General features: G+C 41.1%; 1 annotated feature.

Moving 5' to 3' along the window:
• Window positions 12,623-12,917: a silencer, noted in NCBI's record as "tiled region #7999; HepG2 Repressive non-DNase unmatched - State 24:Quies". NCBI's record gives its function as "represses a minimal TATA promoter and a strong SV40 promoter by Sharpr-MPRA in HepG2 cells {active_cell/tissue: HepG2}" and the evidence as "EXISTENCE:reporter gene assay evidence [ECO:0000049][PMID:27701403]".

Genomic DNA, 20,594 nt, shown 5'->3' with positions numbered 1-20,594 from the left:
GCAAAGTAATGAAGATAATCACTTACTCAAAGAAGACAGGGGACAAGGAACCTAGACAGAAGGAACGGTGTATTCAAAGGCATGCATATAAATTACTAACAGGAGAGTTGGAAAATGGAACTCAAGCAATGTGAATGAATGGGTTGTGAAGTACAGTTGATTCTCACGATTCAAGGTAGTTATATTCTATGAAATCACCTGCAACACTGAGCAATTAGCAAATACTGAATACTGCTTCTAAGGTAAATATGGAGCTAAATTCCTGTGAATGTTGTATTATGTTTTTGTCAACAAATCAATACATAACCTTGTTTTGTGTGTTTCTTATTTAATACAAATGGTTTCATTAACATTGAGCTCATGGTCAATAGCACAATAATTCATGATATTTCCCTGGAAAATCAGGGGAAAAAATCTAGAAGAGAATCTTTTCTCAGTTAAGAACTGGTAGTCCGGCTAGGCACAGTGGCTCACGCCTGTAATCTCAGCACTTTGGGAGGCCGAGGCAGGTGGATCACGAGGTCAGGAGTTCAAGACCTTCCTGGCCAGGATGGTGAAACCTCGTCTCTACTAAAAATACAAAAAAAAATAGCCAGGCGTGGGAGCAGACACCTGTAATCCCAGCTACTAGGGAGACTGAGGCAGAGAATTGCTTGAACCCAGGTGGTGGGGGTTGCAGTAAGCCAAGATCATGCCACCGCACTCTAGCCTGGGAGACAGAGGGAGACTCTGTCTCCAAAAAAAAAAAAAAAAAAAAACAAAACAAAAAAAAAACTGGTAGTCCATAATCACAAAAATAATGGGTTTTAAGAAAACTAATGTTTCAAAATAAATCAGGTATATTTTAAAATAAAAATGAGTATACATATACAGAAAGATGATTGTACAAATTGCCTCATTGTCATACTCAACTCAATCATTGTAGTAGGCAGGGGGAAAAGCGTTCTGGGTTCATAGCATCCGGGCCAGCAGTTAAATTTTCCACAAGTCCAGCGGCCGAGACTGCCGGTTGTAACTTGAAACCAGTTTTATCTAACAGCTACTGAAACAAACTGCTGCGACTCTTAAGACTAGTTTTACCCTAGACCATCACCTACCAGTCAGAGACTGCCAGCTTTCCAAAACTTTACAGTGTCAATGAACTTTCCTTCAATACAATACATAAAGGTTTTCCTTTTATAAGACCTCCAACCGTCTCTTTGTTCCTCAGAGATACCAGAGACCACCCAGTTTGTGTTGAAGCCCCAAATTTCAATTCTTTCTTCCAAAATAAAATCTTTTAAATAAGATATATCTCTATGTTTTATATGACTTGGAATATATATATATATATGTATATATATAGAGAGAGAGAGAGTCAGTTTTTGCAATCAAAATAATTGCAATTACTTTTAATTGCAAAAACCACAATTACTTTTGCACTAACCTAATCTGTGTGTGTGTGTGTGTGTGTGTGTGTTTATGCACACAATGGACAATGGCATGAGCATTTTCCCTTTTCTTTTAGGAAAAAAGAAGGTCAATCCTGCTCTAATTCCTGCCAGCCCAGTCTTGTTGCAGGCTGGCCAACGTCTTTTCTCAGCAAGATGGCCAGAGAGAAGAGAGAGAAATCACAGGGTCAGGGAAACCCTAAGTATTTCTGTTGCTATATAATTCCTCATATGAGCAAGATGTTAATCATCTCTAACTAACTGATTAAAGGCTATGAAGTTTTAACTTACAAATAACTTGATATTCCCAAATTATCTAACACAAATGTTTTTTCCAGGGAGTACCCAAGCAACATGCATTCCAGGAGCCCTCAACCAGGGCCACTTGGACTTGTGTTCCAATTTTCTCTAAAGCTTCAATTTCTAGGTAATCGATTAATCTTTTTAACTACCACGAGGAGCTTTGCGCAAAAGGCAGTTTTTTAGCTGGGCGTGGTGGCTCACACCTGTGATCCCATCAATTTTAGAGGCTGAGGCGGGGGGATGATTTGAGCCCAGGATTTTGAGACCAGCCTGAGAAAAACAGTGAGACTGTCTCTCTCAAAAAAAGAAAACAAATTATTTGGGCATAGTGGCACATGCCTGTAGTCCCAGCTACTTGGGAAGCTGAGGTGGGAGGGTCATTTGAGCCTGGGAGGTTGAGGCTACAATAAGCAGTGATCACACCACTGCATTCCAGCCTGGATGACAGAGTGAAACTCTGTCTCAAAAAACCAAAAAGCCAGTTTCTTTGTTTGTTTTGTTGTTGTTGTTTGTTTGACTCTTTTTTTTAATTTTTTTTTTTTTTTTTTTTTTTTACATTGAGTCTCGCTTTGTCACCCAGACTGGAGTGCAGTGGCACAACCTTGGCTCACTTGCAACCTCCGCCTCCCAGGTTCAAGTGATTCCCCTGCCTCAGCCTCCCAGGTAGCTGGAACTACTGGGCACATGCCACCACGCCTGACTAATTTTTGTATTTTTTTTAGTATAGACAGGGTTTCACCATGTTGGCCAGGCTGGTCTCAAACTCCTGACCTCAGGTGATCCACCTGCCTCCACCTCAGCCTCCCAAAGTGCTGGAATTACAGGCTTGCATAAGCCAGTGCACTCAGCCAGAAAAAGTGGTTTCTTATATAAAGGTATTTCTTAAGCTCTGCTAAGGTTGGGACAGCTGCAATCGAACAGCAGGAGAAGCAGTTCTTCTGCAGGACACACCAGGCTTGTCTCACCAGGTAAAACAAATGTAATTAGTGAAGCAGGAAATATAAGAAAAATAAGTAAACAGAAAAACAGGTTTTCCTATACTTGGCCGACTCACTCCAAGGCCAGCAATAGGCAGGGCCCTAGCGGGCCTTGATAGCACTATCTGAAAAGCCAGAGCCCAAAGGAATGAGCTCCAGAGACTCTCCCAACACACCTGCCCCCTAGAACAAGGATAAGAAAAGCAAGTTCTTCTTATGAGTTGCCCCCTTTGAAATTCTTTCCCTATACCATTATCCCGTGATCTGCTCTCACAACTACTTTTGTAACTATTTCTGCAAATTTGCAAGGATTTTGTAAGTTCCTGTTTCCAGCTGTGCAGTATGGCGAAGGTCACAAGACATGCCTGAGTTGTAAAACCTGTCACTGATAAACTGTCTTTGTTCTACCTGCTTTCACGCCACTGCGTTTGGCACCACAGATCATGTATAAAAGTCAAAGCCCTGTCCAGGGCTCAGCTTTTTGGATGTGAATCTGCTGAGCCAGTGCACCTAAATAAAAATCCTCCTGTCTCACCCATTGGTCTCTCCAGTCTCCTGATTCTCGCAACATTAGCATGTCCATCCATCCTCATAAGAGCTCTACTGGGTAGGTATGAGTATCATCATCTTTTTAAAGTCAAATTTGTACTATGACATAATTGTAGATTCACATTCAGTGATAAGTAACAGTATGGAAGGATTTTACCCACTCTTAACTCAGGTTGTCCCAGCGGTAACAGCTTGCAAAACTACAGTGAACAATCATCACCAGGAAATTGACACAGAAATGATCTGATCTTATTCGGAGTTCCCATGTTTATAGCTGTATGTCTATGTGTGTGCATTTAGTTCTATGTAACATCATTACATGTGTGGTTTGTCTCTCCACTGCCACAGTCCCGACACAGATCAGTTCCATCATCACAAGAATCCCTTGGGCTGCCCCTTTATGAACACACATCCCTCCTGACACTGCTACTCCCAGCCCTGGCAACCACTAATCCATTCTCCCTCTCTATCATTTTGTCTTTTAAAGAATGATTTATAAATAGAATTGGATAGTATATTATCTTTTTACAGACAAATAAATAAGACATAAGCAAGCTAGTTATATAACTGGAAGTTCCAGTGGAAGCCACAGGATAGCTGAGGATTTTACCACTGCAAATCTTTGCTCCCAATCCCTACAGCACACCCTCTCAGACTTGTTCTGAAATGTGCTTTATTTTAATCATTTTCAAAATTTCACTTGCATCTTTGTGGACAAGAACAGAAACTTTAACTCAATATGATTTCACTGATTTTGAAATATTCTGTTTAAGATAAAAGAGAAAAGCCTTTTAATGTAAAAGGAGAGAAAAAAATGCAGCCCTCTTTTCTCTCCAGACCCCATGTTACTAACCCACATTCATTCAGGCAAATGCAGTCTGGAAGCATGTGCTGTTGGACATGCATCATATTAAACACATTCCTTTCATCATTTTCTGCCATGTAGAATTCCGGTGATGTAACACAGTATCCATCTTTCTGCATTTTATTAAAACATTGGATGTTTTGGAAACACTGGCCCTATCTTTCCATTTGAACAGCAGGTGATCACAAGCCTTTGGTGGGTGTGAGTCCCAGCTGGCTGTGGTCTTCACCTGGTCTGACATTGGGAAAGACGTGCTGGGATTCAGCAGCTGCTTCTTCTGCTTCTTACTGTGCCAGAAGTGTTGAAGCTGCTTCCAGCCAGCCAGCTGTCCAGTTAGGGGATGGTCCACTCCCTGGGCCATGCAACAAGAGGCCTGCAACACTGCCCTCCATGGGGTGGTGAAAACTCTCCGAACAGCATGCATGAAATCTTTCATATAGACCTACCCTCGCTGTTAGACCAGCACTTGAGAAACCTCATTACAATGCAGTTTCCCCAAACAATATATGTCAAGGATGGAACAACTTGTGTGCAGGTACTGTAATAAGCAATGTTTTAAAATTATTTCATTTCTTCCTTACAACACTACACTTTGAAATAGGTGCTATTATATGTTTAAACATATAAGGGAAAAGATAGCTCACAGCACAGGAAAAAACGAAACTTCAAGTTAATAGATGTAATTTTTTTTACACAGTCATGCACTGTATAGCTACATTTTGGTAAATGACAAACCACATATATAATGGTGGTCCCACAGGATGATCATACTGTTTCTATTGTACTTTCTCTATGTTCAGATATGCTTAGATACATAAATACCCTTATGTTACAATTGCCTGCAATATTCAGGATAGTAACATGCTATCCAGGTTTGTAGGCTAGAAGCAATGGGCTGTCCTCTAGCCTAGGTGTGTAGCAGGCTATGCCAGCTAGCATAGAGTGTGTGAGTACACTCAGTGATGTTCGCACAATGACAAAATAGCCTAATGATGCATTTCTCAGACATTATCCCCATCATTAAGTGACACATGACTGTGTATTATTTCTTAAATGTCGTCCATATCAGAATTCAGTGTTTATTGGTTTCCACCTTAACAGAGAACACTAACTTGGATGTATTTTGCTAATATAATTTCATTTTTCTGCATAGAGAACTGTGGTTTTTTGAAGCTCTTCCACTTGAACAGGTTTTGTGATCCAATGATGGAATTTGGTCAACATTTTTCTTAAAAATGACCATGTGGAAAAATAAACACTAGGAAGTGGAGCCCATACCTTTGACTAGATGGTGAGAGGAAAACAAATTCTCCCTGGTCATAGGAATCCCATGATTCACTTCACATGAAAGTGGTCTCTGAGAGTATCACACTGGAAACAAAGGAGCTCCTCTTTCATGGTTTCTATTCTAGACAGTGTGGCATGAGGTGATGTAATGAATTCACCACAGAATATCAACCAAGCTTGTGTACGTCAGGCGCAGAGGGAGACACCTGGTAGCCCAGCATGTGGGAAGGTGTGCAGCATGCCGGGAAGAAGAGTTTAACACAATAGACTTGAACAACTTCTCTGAATGTAGCCCCTAATCCCTCATGAGCCCTCAGGCAGTCTCTTAGATCAAGAAGACATGGCCTCCCATCATTTTCCCAAGGCGATGTTTAATGTAGAAGTAAAAGAGTCTATCTAATTTCTTTTTAAAAACTGACTCTTGTTCCCAAGGACTCCCTCTGTGCCAGGCAGTGCACTCAGCAGTTAATGAGTTTAGTAATTCTCCCAGTAGGCTCATGAAGAAGGGAGTAGTATTATGGCAGGAAAATAAAAAGCCTGCCCTTCTGCATGTGATTAGGCAGTGCAAATATTCTAATCCCATGTTTATCTACCATCTCCACATTTTCAGAGGCAGGAAATCAGGCTGAGGGCAGATACATGCCCTGCCACTGATCCTCCAAGACGCTTGCTCCCATTTACGTGTCCTTTCCACCCTCTATCCCAGCACATGGTACCTCAGCCATGGTCTCGGTGATGGCAGGAGTTTCCCATCATGCACCAGTACTGCTCCAGGTGAGATGATGCTTTCTTATCCTCTTACCCAGGCCTGGAAACATGTGCTAGGCTTCATCCTTCACAGACAACCACACTTCCTCTGGGAGAGATTGTTAGTTAGCCCTGACATTCGTTCCTCTTCAGTAATGGAACTTCCGATTTTTACTTGATAACTATGTATTAACTATAGTAACATTAAAAAGCATATTATCCAACCTCCATTACAACTACATTTTTCCTGGTGACCAGGTTTCAGACAGTGGAATATAAGCAGAAGAGTCACATGGCAGCTTCCAGGTCAAAGCAGCACATGTCACTGACCCATGTGTGTGCCTTGTCTCTTCCTCCTTCTTGTATTCTGTGCTTCAAGATGATTGATGGAGCTGGTACCACCACCTGTGAGGAAGCCTTGGAAATGAGGGCCCCACACAGCTGAGTACAAGCTGAAAAGGACCTGGATTCCTGAGGACTTCAGCCCTAGGCTTCTCACCTTTGGACTTTGACATGGTAGAAAAATAAAATTATCTCTTGTTTAAGCAAAATTACTTTGAGTCCTTTACTTGTGATTTGAATAAAAAGATGACCAAGTCAGGGTCATTGCACTCCAGCAAGACGCAATACCTCAATGAGGGTACATGGTTTGATGATGCTTTTTAAATCCTCTTGTCAATCTTTGTTATGATACTAATGTTTATTGGAAAGCGATGACTAACCTCACTGGACTGCCCTCCGTGTTTGAAACCAATTGAATGTTTTTAAAAAATAAGGTTAAATACTTATCAAAAATATTAACTTCATAGCTGCTAATGCTAGGTTGGTTGTATCAGAGATAAAATTGGTTTCTTAATACAGTTGACCCTTGAACAATATGGGTTGGAACTGCTAAAGTCTACTTATGTGCAGATTTTTTTTCAGCCAAGCATGGATAGAAAACACAGTATTTGTGGGATCTGAAATCCATGTACATGGAGGGCTGATTTTTCACATATGCATGTTCTGCAGGGCCAACTGCGGGCCTCGAGTATGCACGGATTTTGGGTTACATGGGGGTCCTGGAATCAATCCCTCTGCATATACCGAGGGATGACTGGACTTCGTACTGCAAGTCTAGACCCGTGGACTCATGCATGCGGAGGACAAAGGCTGCCTGCTCCCAGCCAGGCACAGAGAGCTCAGGAGACTCAATGGTGAGTTTTCCTCTGACAAACCAGTTCATATATATATATATATATATATTTTTTTTTTTTTTTTTTTTTTGAGACAGAGTCTCTTTCTGTGGCCCAGTCTGGAGTGCAATGGTGCTATCTCAGCTCATTGCAACCTCTGCCTCCCGGGGTCAAGCGATTCTCCCTGCCTCAGCCTCTGGAGTAGCTGGGATTACAGGCGCCTGCCACCACGCCCAGCTAATTTTAATTTTTTTTTTCTTTTTTGTTTTTTTGGAGACGTAGTCTCTCTCTGTCGCCCAGACTGGAGTGCAATGGCGCAATCTCGGTTCATTGCAACCTCCGCCTCCTGGGTTCAAGCGATTCTCCTGCCTCAGCCTCCTGAGTAGCTGGGATTACAGGCACCCACCACTACACCTGGCTAATTTTTTTATTTTTAGTAGAGATGGGGTTTCACCATGTTAGTCAGGCTGGTCTTGAACTCCTGAGGTGATCCGCCCGCCTCAGCCTCCCAAAGGCATTTCACATATTAACTGCACTCAATAGAGAGGTGACCAAAAGGATATCAGCATCCTGCCATCTCCCTAATGGGACACACCCTTTGCCCTTCCACAAGGATGTACAAGTATCTGTGCACGTCTGTGGTGCGGGGTGTCCTAACATTCCTGAGGGCTGGAAGCTTCTATTTCATGGTCCAGCAGGAAAACGTGGAGAGACAAAGAAAAGCTCCCCCTGTCCTTTGGGAGATGCTGCTTAAGACAAAATAGAGACCAGAGGTAATTTTGTTGGTAAAAATGAGCCACATGAGGGATATATGAATTGAATTTGGCACAACAGAGCAAAAAACCTGGTGATTCCAAGTGCCTGTAAGTTATTTCTTGGACAGGACTCTCCTCACACCATATTTCTGTAAAGGATATGAAACATGATTGCCTATTCCTTACATTTTCACATTTTGTTGTTTTGGTTTTGGTTGGGGAAACTTTAATTTATTTATTATAAGGATGGCTGCCATCCAAACAATGAATCCAATGCAGATTTTACCCTCATGGTCTTAGCTTCCTCCCTCTCTTTGTACGTGGTGTAAAAACCCCCTTGTGGTATAATTGTGTGTCTGGACCTTGTCATCAGGACTATTCCAAGCCCAGTTCTCTTCCTTGGTCTACTCCCTCAAGCATCTTTCTTTTGATAAGGCTGCCTCTGACTCAAAGACAGAGTTCTCTTTTATCAGAGAAACAAATGAGCCTGGCTAATGACGGGGATGAAAATTGGACCTATAATGAGCTGCTCTATCATAAGTGCGTGTAAATTACATATTCGGTGCTAGTTAAAGTTTTAACATGACACAATACCTTGTAATTACATAGATTTAATTAGTACATGCAGAAAATTTTTCATTAAGAATGCCTCACTAGGGCCAAAAATTCCTTCAAAAATCTCTCTTATGCATGGGGGTTTGAACTAGCCATGAAGGGGTTCCCGGCTGCACATTCAAAAGCAACGCTGAAAACGAAATGTTGGCACACTCCTGAGGAAGAGACATTAAAAGGTTTAAAGACTACACACACTTCCTGTATAGTTGTGACACCAATAAATTGGGCACCAAATATAATCGTCAGGTCACTGTTCTTATCTGAAGGGAAAATAAATTCTTGGAAACAAAATTTGGCCTGAAGATTTTTGCAAGATTGGAAAATCCTTTCTAATTTGTTTGTGGTTGTCCGTATGACCCACAGATATTTAATGGGTATCTCTCTTAAAAAGTATTTTTTAGAAACCAAAATATTACTTTACAGATATAGTAATAATAATACTACATCAACTATGCAGTAAGCATTCAAATTCTCCAATGATGGAAGCCTGTTTTATTTTATTTTATTCATTTTATTTTATTTTATTTTTGAGATGGAGTCGGCCTCTGTCACCCAGGCTGGAGCACAGTGGCACTGTCTCGGCTCATTGCAACCTCTGCCTTTCAGGTTCAAGTGATTCTTGTGCCTCAGCCTCCCGAGTAGCTGGGACTAAAGATGCGCACCACCATACCTAGCTAATTTTTTCTTTTTCTTTTTTTTTTTTTTTTTGTATTTTTAATAGAGACAGGGTTTCGCCACGTTGGCTGGTCTCAAACTCCTGACTTCAAGTGATCCGCCCACCTCCGCCTCCCAAAGTTCTGGGATTACAGGCTTGAGCCACCGCGCCTGTCGGGAAGCCTGTTTTAAAGCCATTAACATATCGTGTGCGGATTTAATTTTTCTTATAAATTAGCACGCCAGCATTTCATTCTCCTTTGTTCTCGCTGTACTCAGCAAATGCTAGTACTAGGTACATCTTTGCCTGAGTTTCTGCAGCTGCCTTTTCTGGCAGAGCTTGTTTTGTTGCAAGACACATGTTATACAATTCAATTGTCCAGATAAAAACCAGGCTTAGCTTGGTTTAAAAGGCAAACATATTAGCAGCTTGGTGGAAAAATAGAGGCATTTGACTGGAAGAAATGAAATCAGCTTTTGAAAGAATGAAAATATGCATGAACAGTAAAAAAGGTGAGAACCACCATCACTAGGGAAAGAACAAGGGTATTAATATCGCCTTAATTTATAGAATTTCTTGGATAATGCTGGGGTTGATTTTCATCTGATTATTGCAGATACAAATAGGAAAAAGAAAAACAGGCTTATAAGTGACTCATACCTATCATGAGTGACTAATTCCAGTTCTGTTCTGTTCTGACTAACAAAGCAAATAGTTTGTGTGTAGGTTGTTTTTGGAAGGAAAATGATTTGAAACAAGGGTCTAAGCTGTTTCAGCAAAGTATATTAAGCCATCGGTAGTTTAGAATATTATTTCTATATTCCTATGAAAATAACGATAAGGCTTGTTAGAGAAGAAATATAAGCAAACCGATATATCCCTATTATCTGAGCATATGCTTTGGTTTTTCTCAATATTATCAATAAATAGCTTTTTGATAATTGGCCAGGTAGTAAGTAATCATTACGGTCAAGCTATTGACACTATTGAAGCCTGTCTTTCATTTTTGAATCAGTCCATGCCCATCCCATCTTAGGACCTTTGAACTTGCTGCTGCTTCTGCCTGAACCCTCTGCATATGGCTGGGTTCTTTTTTTATCCTTTTCCTTTAGAAGAAGGATCCCTTATGTCACCTCCTAGGAAAAGCCTTCTCTGTTCACCCTAATAAGATAGCCCAACCACCCCCATTCTAGTCTGTCTCCATCAGATTGGCTTCTTTTTACCCTTCCATCCCAGCATTATCACAGTCTAACAATAGTCTGTTTCCTTGTTTTATTGACTGAATCCCTGCATTAGGCTGTAAGCTGCATGAGACCAGGATCCTAAGCTGTCACTTTCAACACTGTTTCCCCAGGCACTAGGAAGGGGCGCAGTCACAGTAGGCATCATGAGGAACGAAGGAAGGAAGGAAGGAAGGAAGGAAGGAAGGAAGGAAGGAAGGAAGGAAGGAAGGAAGGAAGGAAGGGAGGGAGGGAGGGAGGGAGGGAGGGAGGGGGGAAGGAGGGAGGGAGGGAGAGGGGAAGGAGGGAGGGAGGAAGTGGGGGAGGAGGGAGGAAGTGGGGAAGGAGGGAGGGAGGAGAGAGGGAGGGAGGAAGGAAGGACCCACAGATAGAGCTCAAGGGCAATTCATCTCTTACTGAATTCCTCTCTGGAAAACCCAGCATCATAAGGCAGTTGTGGCTTAATTATCTTTAAAAAAACAATTTGGGGAGGGAAATAATAGGAGAAAAAGGCTAGGGAAACTTTTATTTGTTGATTTCCAAATAAGGCACTTAAAACATAGCAGAAGTTTTCAAAGTAAGCCAGAGAAAGTTTAATATCTTGTTGACAAAAGGACCGAGTTCTGTGAAATGTGAAGACATGCAGTCTGCTTTTACCTTCAAAGTGCTGTCGGTCACTCGTGCCCTCTGCTTTGACAGTAAGAATGCAAAGACACAAAATACTGCCTTGTACCTCATCAAGATTCTCTCTCACCACAGCAAGAGAAATGCAGACCCTGAATCTTGGTAATGTGTCACTATAATTTAAATATAGATCATGATGAAGACACCATACATTATGTCTAGTTTAAGTAGCTCAAGTGGAAGGAGGAGTGTGAGCGTGGGAGGGTGTGCTTGTTGAGGAGTGAGTAAATATAAGGAGAATATGGTACAAAGCATCACCTTTATAAAAAGAATAGCCCACAGCCCTACGCTTTCTATGTGGCTGTGCCTTGTCTTCCCAGCCAAGGCTGCAAACTTTTCGAACGGTAGCATGTATCTTTTTATTTTTTCTCGGAAACCAACACACTAACCTAGACTTGGGTGCACAGTGGATGCCGTATAGTCTATGCTACGTTCACCTGCCCGTGTCACCATGGATGCCTCAGGCACTTGAGCTGCAACTAAAGGTCACTCCACCACAGTGCTGGTGTAAATAGAGTCCACGTGTATATTCTGTGCTTCTGCCAACCTACCCGTCACATAGTATTAATTCTTTAACTTCATGTCCAGGCCCAGTGAAACTTTGCTTGCTTTGCCTTTCTTCGCAAGGGTGCTGTGGGGTTAATTCATTCCTGGGCACTGGGTTGAGGGCACTGGGAGCTGGACAATTTCTTACATATCCGCAGGGGCTCTTTGCATTTTTTGTCTGGTGGCAAAGCGGTACCAGAAAATATGCCTTTCCATATATAATTCCATGCTTTCCTCTAATAATAATAATACTCCATTTATAATAACCATGGGCCAGGCACGGTGGCTCACGCCCGTAATCCCAGCACTTTGGGAGGCCGAGGCAGGCGGATCAGGAGGTCAGGAGATCCAGACCATCCTGGCTAACAGGGCGAAACCCCGTCTCTACTAAAAATATAAAAAAATTAGCCTGGAGTGGTGGCGGGCGCCTGTAGTCCCAGCTACTGGGGAGGCTGATGCAGGAGAATGGTGTGAACCCGGGAGGCGGAGCTTGCAGTGAGCCCAGATCGCGCCACTGCACTCCAGCCTGGGAGACAGAGCGAGACTCCGTCTCAAAAAAAAAAAAAAAAAAAACCCATGATTTCTATATAGGAAAGCTGCCATATAGTCATTTTAATAACTGATTAAAAGGTAAGAATGACAGCCTAGAAACTACAGACCCAAGATCCAAGCCTGGAATCATGCCGTACATCTCGAAACGGGCAAATGCAATTAAAAATCCCGCAGCAGGCAGTTCAGCCATGGAGGAAGGAACATATTTTGGTCTTGAAATTTGCTTTCAGCTTCCCCAGCACTTATAATCCGATTTTCGCCAGCGGAGATGAATAATGACCCTCCTCAGCCTATTTACGGCGGATGGAGAAGAATGATGATCACACATATTGATTTTCCTCCCCCTCTTTCTTGTTGCAAGAGACTTGAGGAAAGATGATCTCGTTTATCTTGAGCCCTGCTGTGCTGGGGATGAGGTGAATAAGCATTTCCAAGGAAAAAGAGGAGGGGCCCCTAAGGTCCCAAATCAAAGAATGCGTTTGTGGGAGGGTTTCCAGCTCTGGGTCGCTGAGGAAGCTTAAGAATTTTCAACAAACAAAATGATGTTTAAAAGAAACGTCTCATACATGTTCTGAAAACTGGATGAAACGCATAGAAAATATGTTTTGTGTGGCCTGGAGCTTGTTTAATCTACTATTAGACAAGAAAAGATCCTCTATGTGTTTTCTCCACGGCTTGTTTTTAGTCAACTTTAGTGAGTGTAATTATACAATGAAAGGCACCCACGTTACGTGCGCAGGTGGGAGAGTTCTGACCAGAGCCTGGGATTGTCTGTTGCCACCTCCTCTGTGCAGGCTTTTGTCTCTCCAGGGTGCCCCTCCTGGGTCACAGAGCCCCCCACTCCTCTGGAACCCTTTTCTCCTCCCCTTCTCCTCTTCTCCATCTCACTGTGGATTGCAAACTGCCACACTTCTGAGCCCCTCTTCTGAAGGTCGTCATGCAGAGAAGGGGGTTGGGGGGTCGGCTGCCATTTTCCCAATTTCTCAGCCCAGGGCCTCACCTGAGTTGATACCTGGCAAATATCTGTGGGATCAATGTGTGGCCAAAAGACTGTGGCTTCCAGGGAGGGGCAGGGAGGGCAATTTAAGAGGAAGGGGGTCGGTTGAGGTGGCTCATATCTGTAATCCCGGCACTTTTGGGGGCCAAGATAGGAGGATTGCTTGTGACCAGGAGTTCGAGACCAGACTGGGCAACATAGCAAGACCCCATCTCTACCAAAATATATATTTATAGTGGGATGTGGTGACATGGGCCTGTGGTCCTAGCTACTCAGAAGACTGAGGCAGGAGGATCGCTTGAGCCCAGCAGATTGGGGCTGCAGTGAGCTATGATTGCGCCACTGCACTCCAGCCTGGGTAACAGAGGGAGACCCTGTCTCAAAAATAAATAAGTAAATAAATAAGAGGAAAGGGTCCTAGGTAAGATCCTTGCTGGGAGAATTGCAATTCCCACTTCAAGTGTCAGAGCTCCAGGGTGTAGATGCCAAGGTTTGATGTTTCTCACTATCTTGTACAGAGATCTCACTTACAGTGAGTAAGGAACCAGCACGTGCGGGAGGAGGGAGAGCCTAAGGGGCTGGAGTGGAGTCTGTCCTGTGTGCGGAGATGCTAGGCCACTGGAACAGATTTCTGCTGGACTGAGGGATCATGGCTTGAGCCCCACCACACTTCAGAACCCGGGGAAGGGGCAGGACAGAGCCACAACCCCTTTCTGTTCCTTAACACACACATCTTGTCCTTCTCCCTCCTTCATCCTACCCCACCACATCCCCAGCAAGCTGAGCCCTGCCTGGCTGCCAGGTCTTTGGGCAGAGCTTAGAAGCCCCTGTGTGACTGGGAGGCCAGAAACCCTTCCCTGGCCAGGAAAGAAGCTGGGGAGGCCTGAAGGTCCGACTACTCTGCCACTGCGGAAAGGGAGGTCACCCTGAGTCCCCAAGTCCAGGGCAATTCTCTGCTAATATGTGCATTTATTGCTATAATTTTCCTTTCAAATATGGCTTAATATGGCTTTAGCTGCCTTTTTTTTTTTTTTGAGATGGAGTGTCTCGCTGTCACCCAAGCTGGAGTGCAGTGGCACAATCTTGGCTCACTGCAACCTCAGCCTCCTCAGTTCAAGTGATTCTCCGGCCTCAGCCTCCCTAGTAGCTGGGATTACAGGTGTGCGCCACTATTCCCAGCTAAGTTTTGTATTTTTAGTAGGGACAGTGTTTCACCATGTTGACCAGGCTGGTCTCAAACTCCTGACCTCAAGTGATCTGCCCGCCTAAGCCTCCCAAAGTGCTGGGATTACAAGTGTAAGCCACCGTGCCTGGCCTAGCTGTCTTTGATATATAGTATTTTCATAATTACTCAGATGAAAGTATTTCATAATTTACAGCATGGCTCTGTGACATGCTCTATTTAGAAGACGATTTCTTTAAATCTGTCCATTTAGGGGTGATGCAGTTGCCATCATCATCATCCTAGTTTTATTCCACAGCGAGAAGAGAAGATACGCTACGATTTCAATTATTTGAATGGCTTACAATTGGCTGGGTGGTAAAGCTTGTGGACAATTTGGGGACATATTCCATGTTCTGTGATTGTTGGCTTCTGCGTTCTAATACGCCATTTGGATCAAGCCTGTATTTCTGCAGTGCAAAACTCCTATATTCCTAAACATTTTATGCCAGAGCTCTATCAGTTAAGAGAGGTTTGAGAAAATCTCCCACTGTGATTGTCTATTTCTTATATTTCTTCCTTTGGTTCTGTCAAATTTTTGCTTTCCACTTGTATGTGCTGTTTAGACTTGCTTTCTCGTCACATCATCGTATACTTTGAAGCACTTTTTGCCATAAAATCTGTTAAAAGAACGCCAGCCTACTTTTGTTTCTTGTCTGAATAATGCTTCCCTGGGCTTTTACTTTTATTCTTCCATATTTTAAATATGAAGAAATGTCTTCATATTTAAAATCCCTATAGTGTAAGCATTATGTGGCTGAGTTGTACATTTTATCTTGTTTGACAAAGCTTAAATTTTTATTGGATGTTGGTTAATTTACGTGTGATGATTTTAGTGATATGTTTGTGTTCAGATTTGTTTCCGTTTGCTGCATTCATTTTTCCCTCCTGTTGAATCCTTGCATTAACAGATTATTTTGATTTAGCATCCTCCATTAGCATGTTATTATTCAGTTCCCCTGGAGACTATGATGTGCATCTTTGATTCATAATTCATAATAATTAAAGATAAATTAATGCTTTCATCATAACCTTAAAAATGTTAACAATTTAAGACATTTTAATTCATTCCATTTCTTCTGTCTTTTGATTTGTTGGATTCACGTTTTTAAATTCTACATACATTTTGAAACTCACAAGGTATTATTGTTATTATGATTGATTTATGCAGTTTAGGTTTATCACAGATTTTTTAAAAATTTGTATTCATTATTCCTTTCATTTATATTTATCTGTCTGAAATGATTTTCCTATCCCTAAAACTGACTGACGTGGTTTGGATACTTGTCCCTTTAAGTCTCATGTTGAAATGTAATCCCCAGTGTTGGAGGTGGGCCTAGTGGGTGGGGTTGGGATCATGGGAATGAATCCCTCATGAGTGGCCTAGCACCATCTCCTTGGTGATGAGTGAAGCGGTTGTTTAGAAGTGTGTGGTGCCTCCTCCCTTTTCTCTTTGTCCTGCTCTTGCCATGTGATGTGCTGGCTCCCTGTTGCCTTCTGCCATGATTGGAAGCTCCCTGAGGCCTCACCAGAAGCAGATGTCAGCACCATGCTTCCTGTAAAGTCTGCAGAACCATAAGCCAATTAAACCTCTTTTCTTTATAAATGACCCCAACCTTAGACATTTCTTTATAGCAATGCAGGAACAACCTAACACACTAACAAATTGTATGGTTTTTAGTGTACATTTGGTGGCACTGAATTCTCTCAGTCTTTCTTTTATATAAATTTTCATTTTGCCTTCATTTTAAACTTTTTTGGTATGTTATTTCTAGATAGAGAATTCAAAGATGACAGGCATTTTCTTTCAGTTATCTCTTTTACTTAATTTGTATAAATTTAAGGGTACAAATGCTATTTTTTATTAAGTGGTTGTTTTGCCTAGTGGTGAAGTCTGGGCTTTTAGTGTGTCCATCATCTGAATAATGCACATTGTATCCGTTAAATAATTTCTAATCATCCACACCCCTCTCCCCACTCCCTGACCCTTCCAAGTCTCCAATGTGTATCATTCTACTCTCTATGTAATTTGATTTGGTTGTCTTCAGACTTAATTTTGGTTTTGTGGTGTGTGTGTGTGTGTGTGTGTGTGTGTGTGTTGTTTTTGATAGGGTCTTGCTGTGTCTCTCAGGCTGGAGAGCTGTGGTGCAATCACTGCTTACTACAGCCTCTACCTCCCAGGCTCAAGTGATCCTCACACCTTAGCCTTCTGAGTAGCTGGGACTACAGGCATGTGCTCCACACCCAGCTAATATTTTTTTAATTCTTTTGTAGAGACAGGGTCTTACAATGTTGCCCAGGCTGACCTAGAACTCATGGTCTTAAGAGATCCTCCTGTCTCAGCCTCCCAAAGTGCTGGCATTATAGGTATGAGCCATCCACTGTGCCTGGCCAATTTTGTATGCTGAGAAATTAGCTAAAATTCTTATTATTGCCTCTTTGAATAGAATGTGTGTTTTTCCCTTTGTTTTTGTTTTCATTGGTTTGCACTGGTGTGTCTAAGTGTTTTATTTTCCTTGTATTCCTCTTGCATTGGGTTAGTAGAAATTCTTTAATCTATGCTTACATTTCCATGATCAAGTTTAGATATTTCTTATCCGTGATTTTTTCAAGTATTTTTTCTACCCTATTCTCTCTTCCTCTAAGAGTCTAGATACAAATTTGATAGGCTTTTTAAAAAATAAATAAAACAAAGTAGTTTTAGATCTATAAAATTATAAATTTATATAATAGGGAGAGTTCCCACATACCCCACACTGAGTTTCATTTTGTGTTAACATCTTACATTAATATGAAACATTTGTCACAACTAATGAATCAACATTAATACATTATAATTGATATGGTTTAACTGTGTCCCCATCTAAATTTCATCTTGAATTGTAGGTCTTATAATGCCCACGTGTCATGGGAGGGACTAGGTGGAGATAATTGAATCATGGAGGCTGTTTTCTCCATCCTGTTCTCATGATAGTGAGTGATTTCTCTTGAAATCTGATGATTTTATAAGGGGCTTCACACTGCACTTCTGCTTCCTGCTGCCATGTGAAGAAGGACATGTTTACTTCCCCTTCCACCGTGACTGTAAGTTTCCTGAGGCCTCTGCAGCCATGCTGAACTGTGAGTCAATTTAACCTCTTTCCTGTATAAATTACCCAGTCTTGGGTGTGTCTTTATTAGCAGAATGAGAATGGACTAATACAATCATTAATTAAAATCCATACTTATTTCAGGTTAATTTTGGTTTCTTAGTTTTTCTTTAATGTCCTTTTTCTATTTCGGGATCTCATCCAGAATACCTTATTCCATCTAGTAGCCATATCTTCTTAGGCTTCTTTATGCTATGACAGTTCCTCAAAGTGTCCTTGTTTTTTCATGACTCATACAACATGTAGCCATTTCAGATTGGTCATTTTCAGTAGCAATATACATTTAAGATTCATTCACATTTTCATGTTTCTGAACAGTTCATTCCTTTACACTGGTGTACAATATACCATTGTATGGATGTACCAGGTTTGTTTAATCATTTGTAAAACTATATCTCCATTACTTCCAGTGTCTGTTGAATATGAATAAATCTATTAAAATATTCATATGTGAATTTGGTGTGAACATGCTTTTTTTTTGAGACAGGGTCTTGCTCTGTTGCTCAGGCTGGAGTGCAGTGGCATGATCTCAGCTCACTGCAAACTCAGCCTCTAAAGCACAAGCAATTCTCCCACTTCGGCCTCCCAAGTAGCTAGGACTACAGGCATGCACCACCATGTCCAGTTAATTTTTGTATTTTTTGTAGAGATGGGGTTTTGCCATGCTGACCAGGTTGAGTCTTGAATTCCTGAACTCAGGCGATCCACCTGCCTCAGCCTCCCAAAGTGCTGAGTCATGAGCCATGGAGTCTGGCCAAAAATACATTTTTAAGTCAGTTGGTTAAATACTTAGGAACATGGTAGCTAGATTGTAATGATAAGACTATGTTACACTTTGTTGAGAATCTGCCAAATTTTCCTCAAAATTGCCAGTACCATTTTGTCATCCCACCAGCAATACAATACCATACTAATAGTTGTACAATTGCATTGCGTCATTATTTTCATTTTCATTTCCTTAATGGTGAATGATGCTGAACATCTTTTCATATACTATTTGCCACCAAAACACTGTAAAGTGTCTCTTCAGGACTTTTGCCATTGTTTGATTGGGCAGTTTGGGGATTATATATTTTTTTCTTACTTTGGAGTTGCATTGTTTTTAATAATTTTAACTTTCATTTTAGATTTGGGGTTACATGTATACATTTGTTACATGGGCATATTGTGTGACACTTAGATTTGGTTTATGAATGATCTTGTCACCCAGCTAGTGAGCATAGTGCCCAACAGGTAGTTTTTCACCCCTTTCTCTCGTTCCCCTTTCCACTTCTAGTAGTCCCCAGTTTCTATTGTCACCATCTTTATGTCCATGATTACCTAATATTTAGCTCCCAGTTATAAGTGAGAACATGTAGTATTTGGTTTTCTCTCACTGCACTAATTCACTTAGGATGATGGCTTCAAGTTGCACCCATGTTACGGCAAAGGACATGATTTTTTTCTTTTTTATGGCTGGGTAGTATTCCATGGTGTGTCTATACCACTTTATTTCTTAATCCAATCTACCATTGATGAGCACCTACATTGATTCCATATCCTTGCTATTGTGAACAGTGCTATGATGAACATATATGCATGCTGCTAATGCCACAGAATTTTGTAGAATTATTTATTTTCCCTTGAGTATATACCCAATAATGAGATTGCTGGGTCAAATGGTAGTTCTGTTTTTAATTCTTTAAGAAATCTCCAAATTGCCTTCCACAGTGACTGGACTAATTTACATTCCAACAAACAGTGTACAGCCTCACCAGTGTCTATTTTTTTTTTTGTATTTTTAATAATCACCATTCTGACTGGTATGAGATGGTATCTCATTGTGGTTTTGATTTGCATTTTGCTGATGATTAGCAATATTGAGCAATAGGTTTTGTGACCACTTATATGTCTTCTTTTGAGAAGTATCTGTTCATGTCCTTTGCTCACTTTTTAATGGGGTTATTTGTTTTTTGCTTGTTGACTTAAGTTTCTTATAGATTCTGGATATTAGACTTTCACTGGATTAATAGTTTGTGAATATTTTCTTTCATTCTGTGGGTTGTCTGTTTACTCTATTGATAATTTCTTTTGCTGCGCAGAAACTCTTTAGTTTAATTAGGTCCCACTTATCAATTTTTGTTTCTGTTGCAATTGCTTTTGAGGACTTAGTCATAAATTCTTTGTCAGTGCTGATGTCCAGAATGGTATTTCCTAGGTTTTCTTCTGGGATTTTTAAAGTTTGAGGTCTTACATTTAAGTTTTTAATACATCTTGAGTTATTTTTGTACATGGTGAGAAGTAGGGGTCCAGTGTTACTCTTTGGCATATGAGTAGCCAGTTATCACAGCACTATTTATTAAACAGGGAGTCTTGTCTCCATTGTTTATTTTTGTCATCTTTGTCAAAGATCAGATGGTTGTAGGCGTATGACTTTATTTCTGGGTTCTGTATTTTGTTCTATTGGTCTATGTGTGTTTTTGTACCAGTACCATGCTGTTTTGTTTATTGTAGACTTGTGGTATAGTTTGAAGTTGGGTAATGTAATGCCTCTGACTTTCTTCTCAAGTTTATATTTTTTGTGGCTTCTACTCCACATAAAAAGATCTCACTTGTGCTGTCTTTCTGGATTTGCTTGTCCCTTTAGATTTGGGGATGTCAGTTTGGTCTGTGATCTCAATTATCTGATGAGTCCAAGAGAAGTTATGGACTTTCTGTATATTCCATTTATTTATTTATTTATTTATTTATTTATTTATTTATTTATTTATTTGTAAGGCTATGAATAATGACTTCTGAACTCTTTATAGGTAGAATCTGAAACTGGAAATCCTTGAAGGACTTTTTTTTCCATGTCAATGGTGTATAAAAATGCCTGCACATTCTC

Source organism: Homo sapiens, chromosome 12 (genome assembly GCF_000001405.40).
Source record: "Homo sapiens chromosome 12, GRCh38.p14 Primary Assembly".
Taxonomy (NCBI): Eukaryota; Metazoa; Chordata; class Mammalia; order Primates; family Hominidae; genus Homo; species Homo sapiens.
Note: the sequence above shows the minus strand (reverse complement) of the source record. Positions and strands in the feature narration are given on the sequence as shown.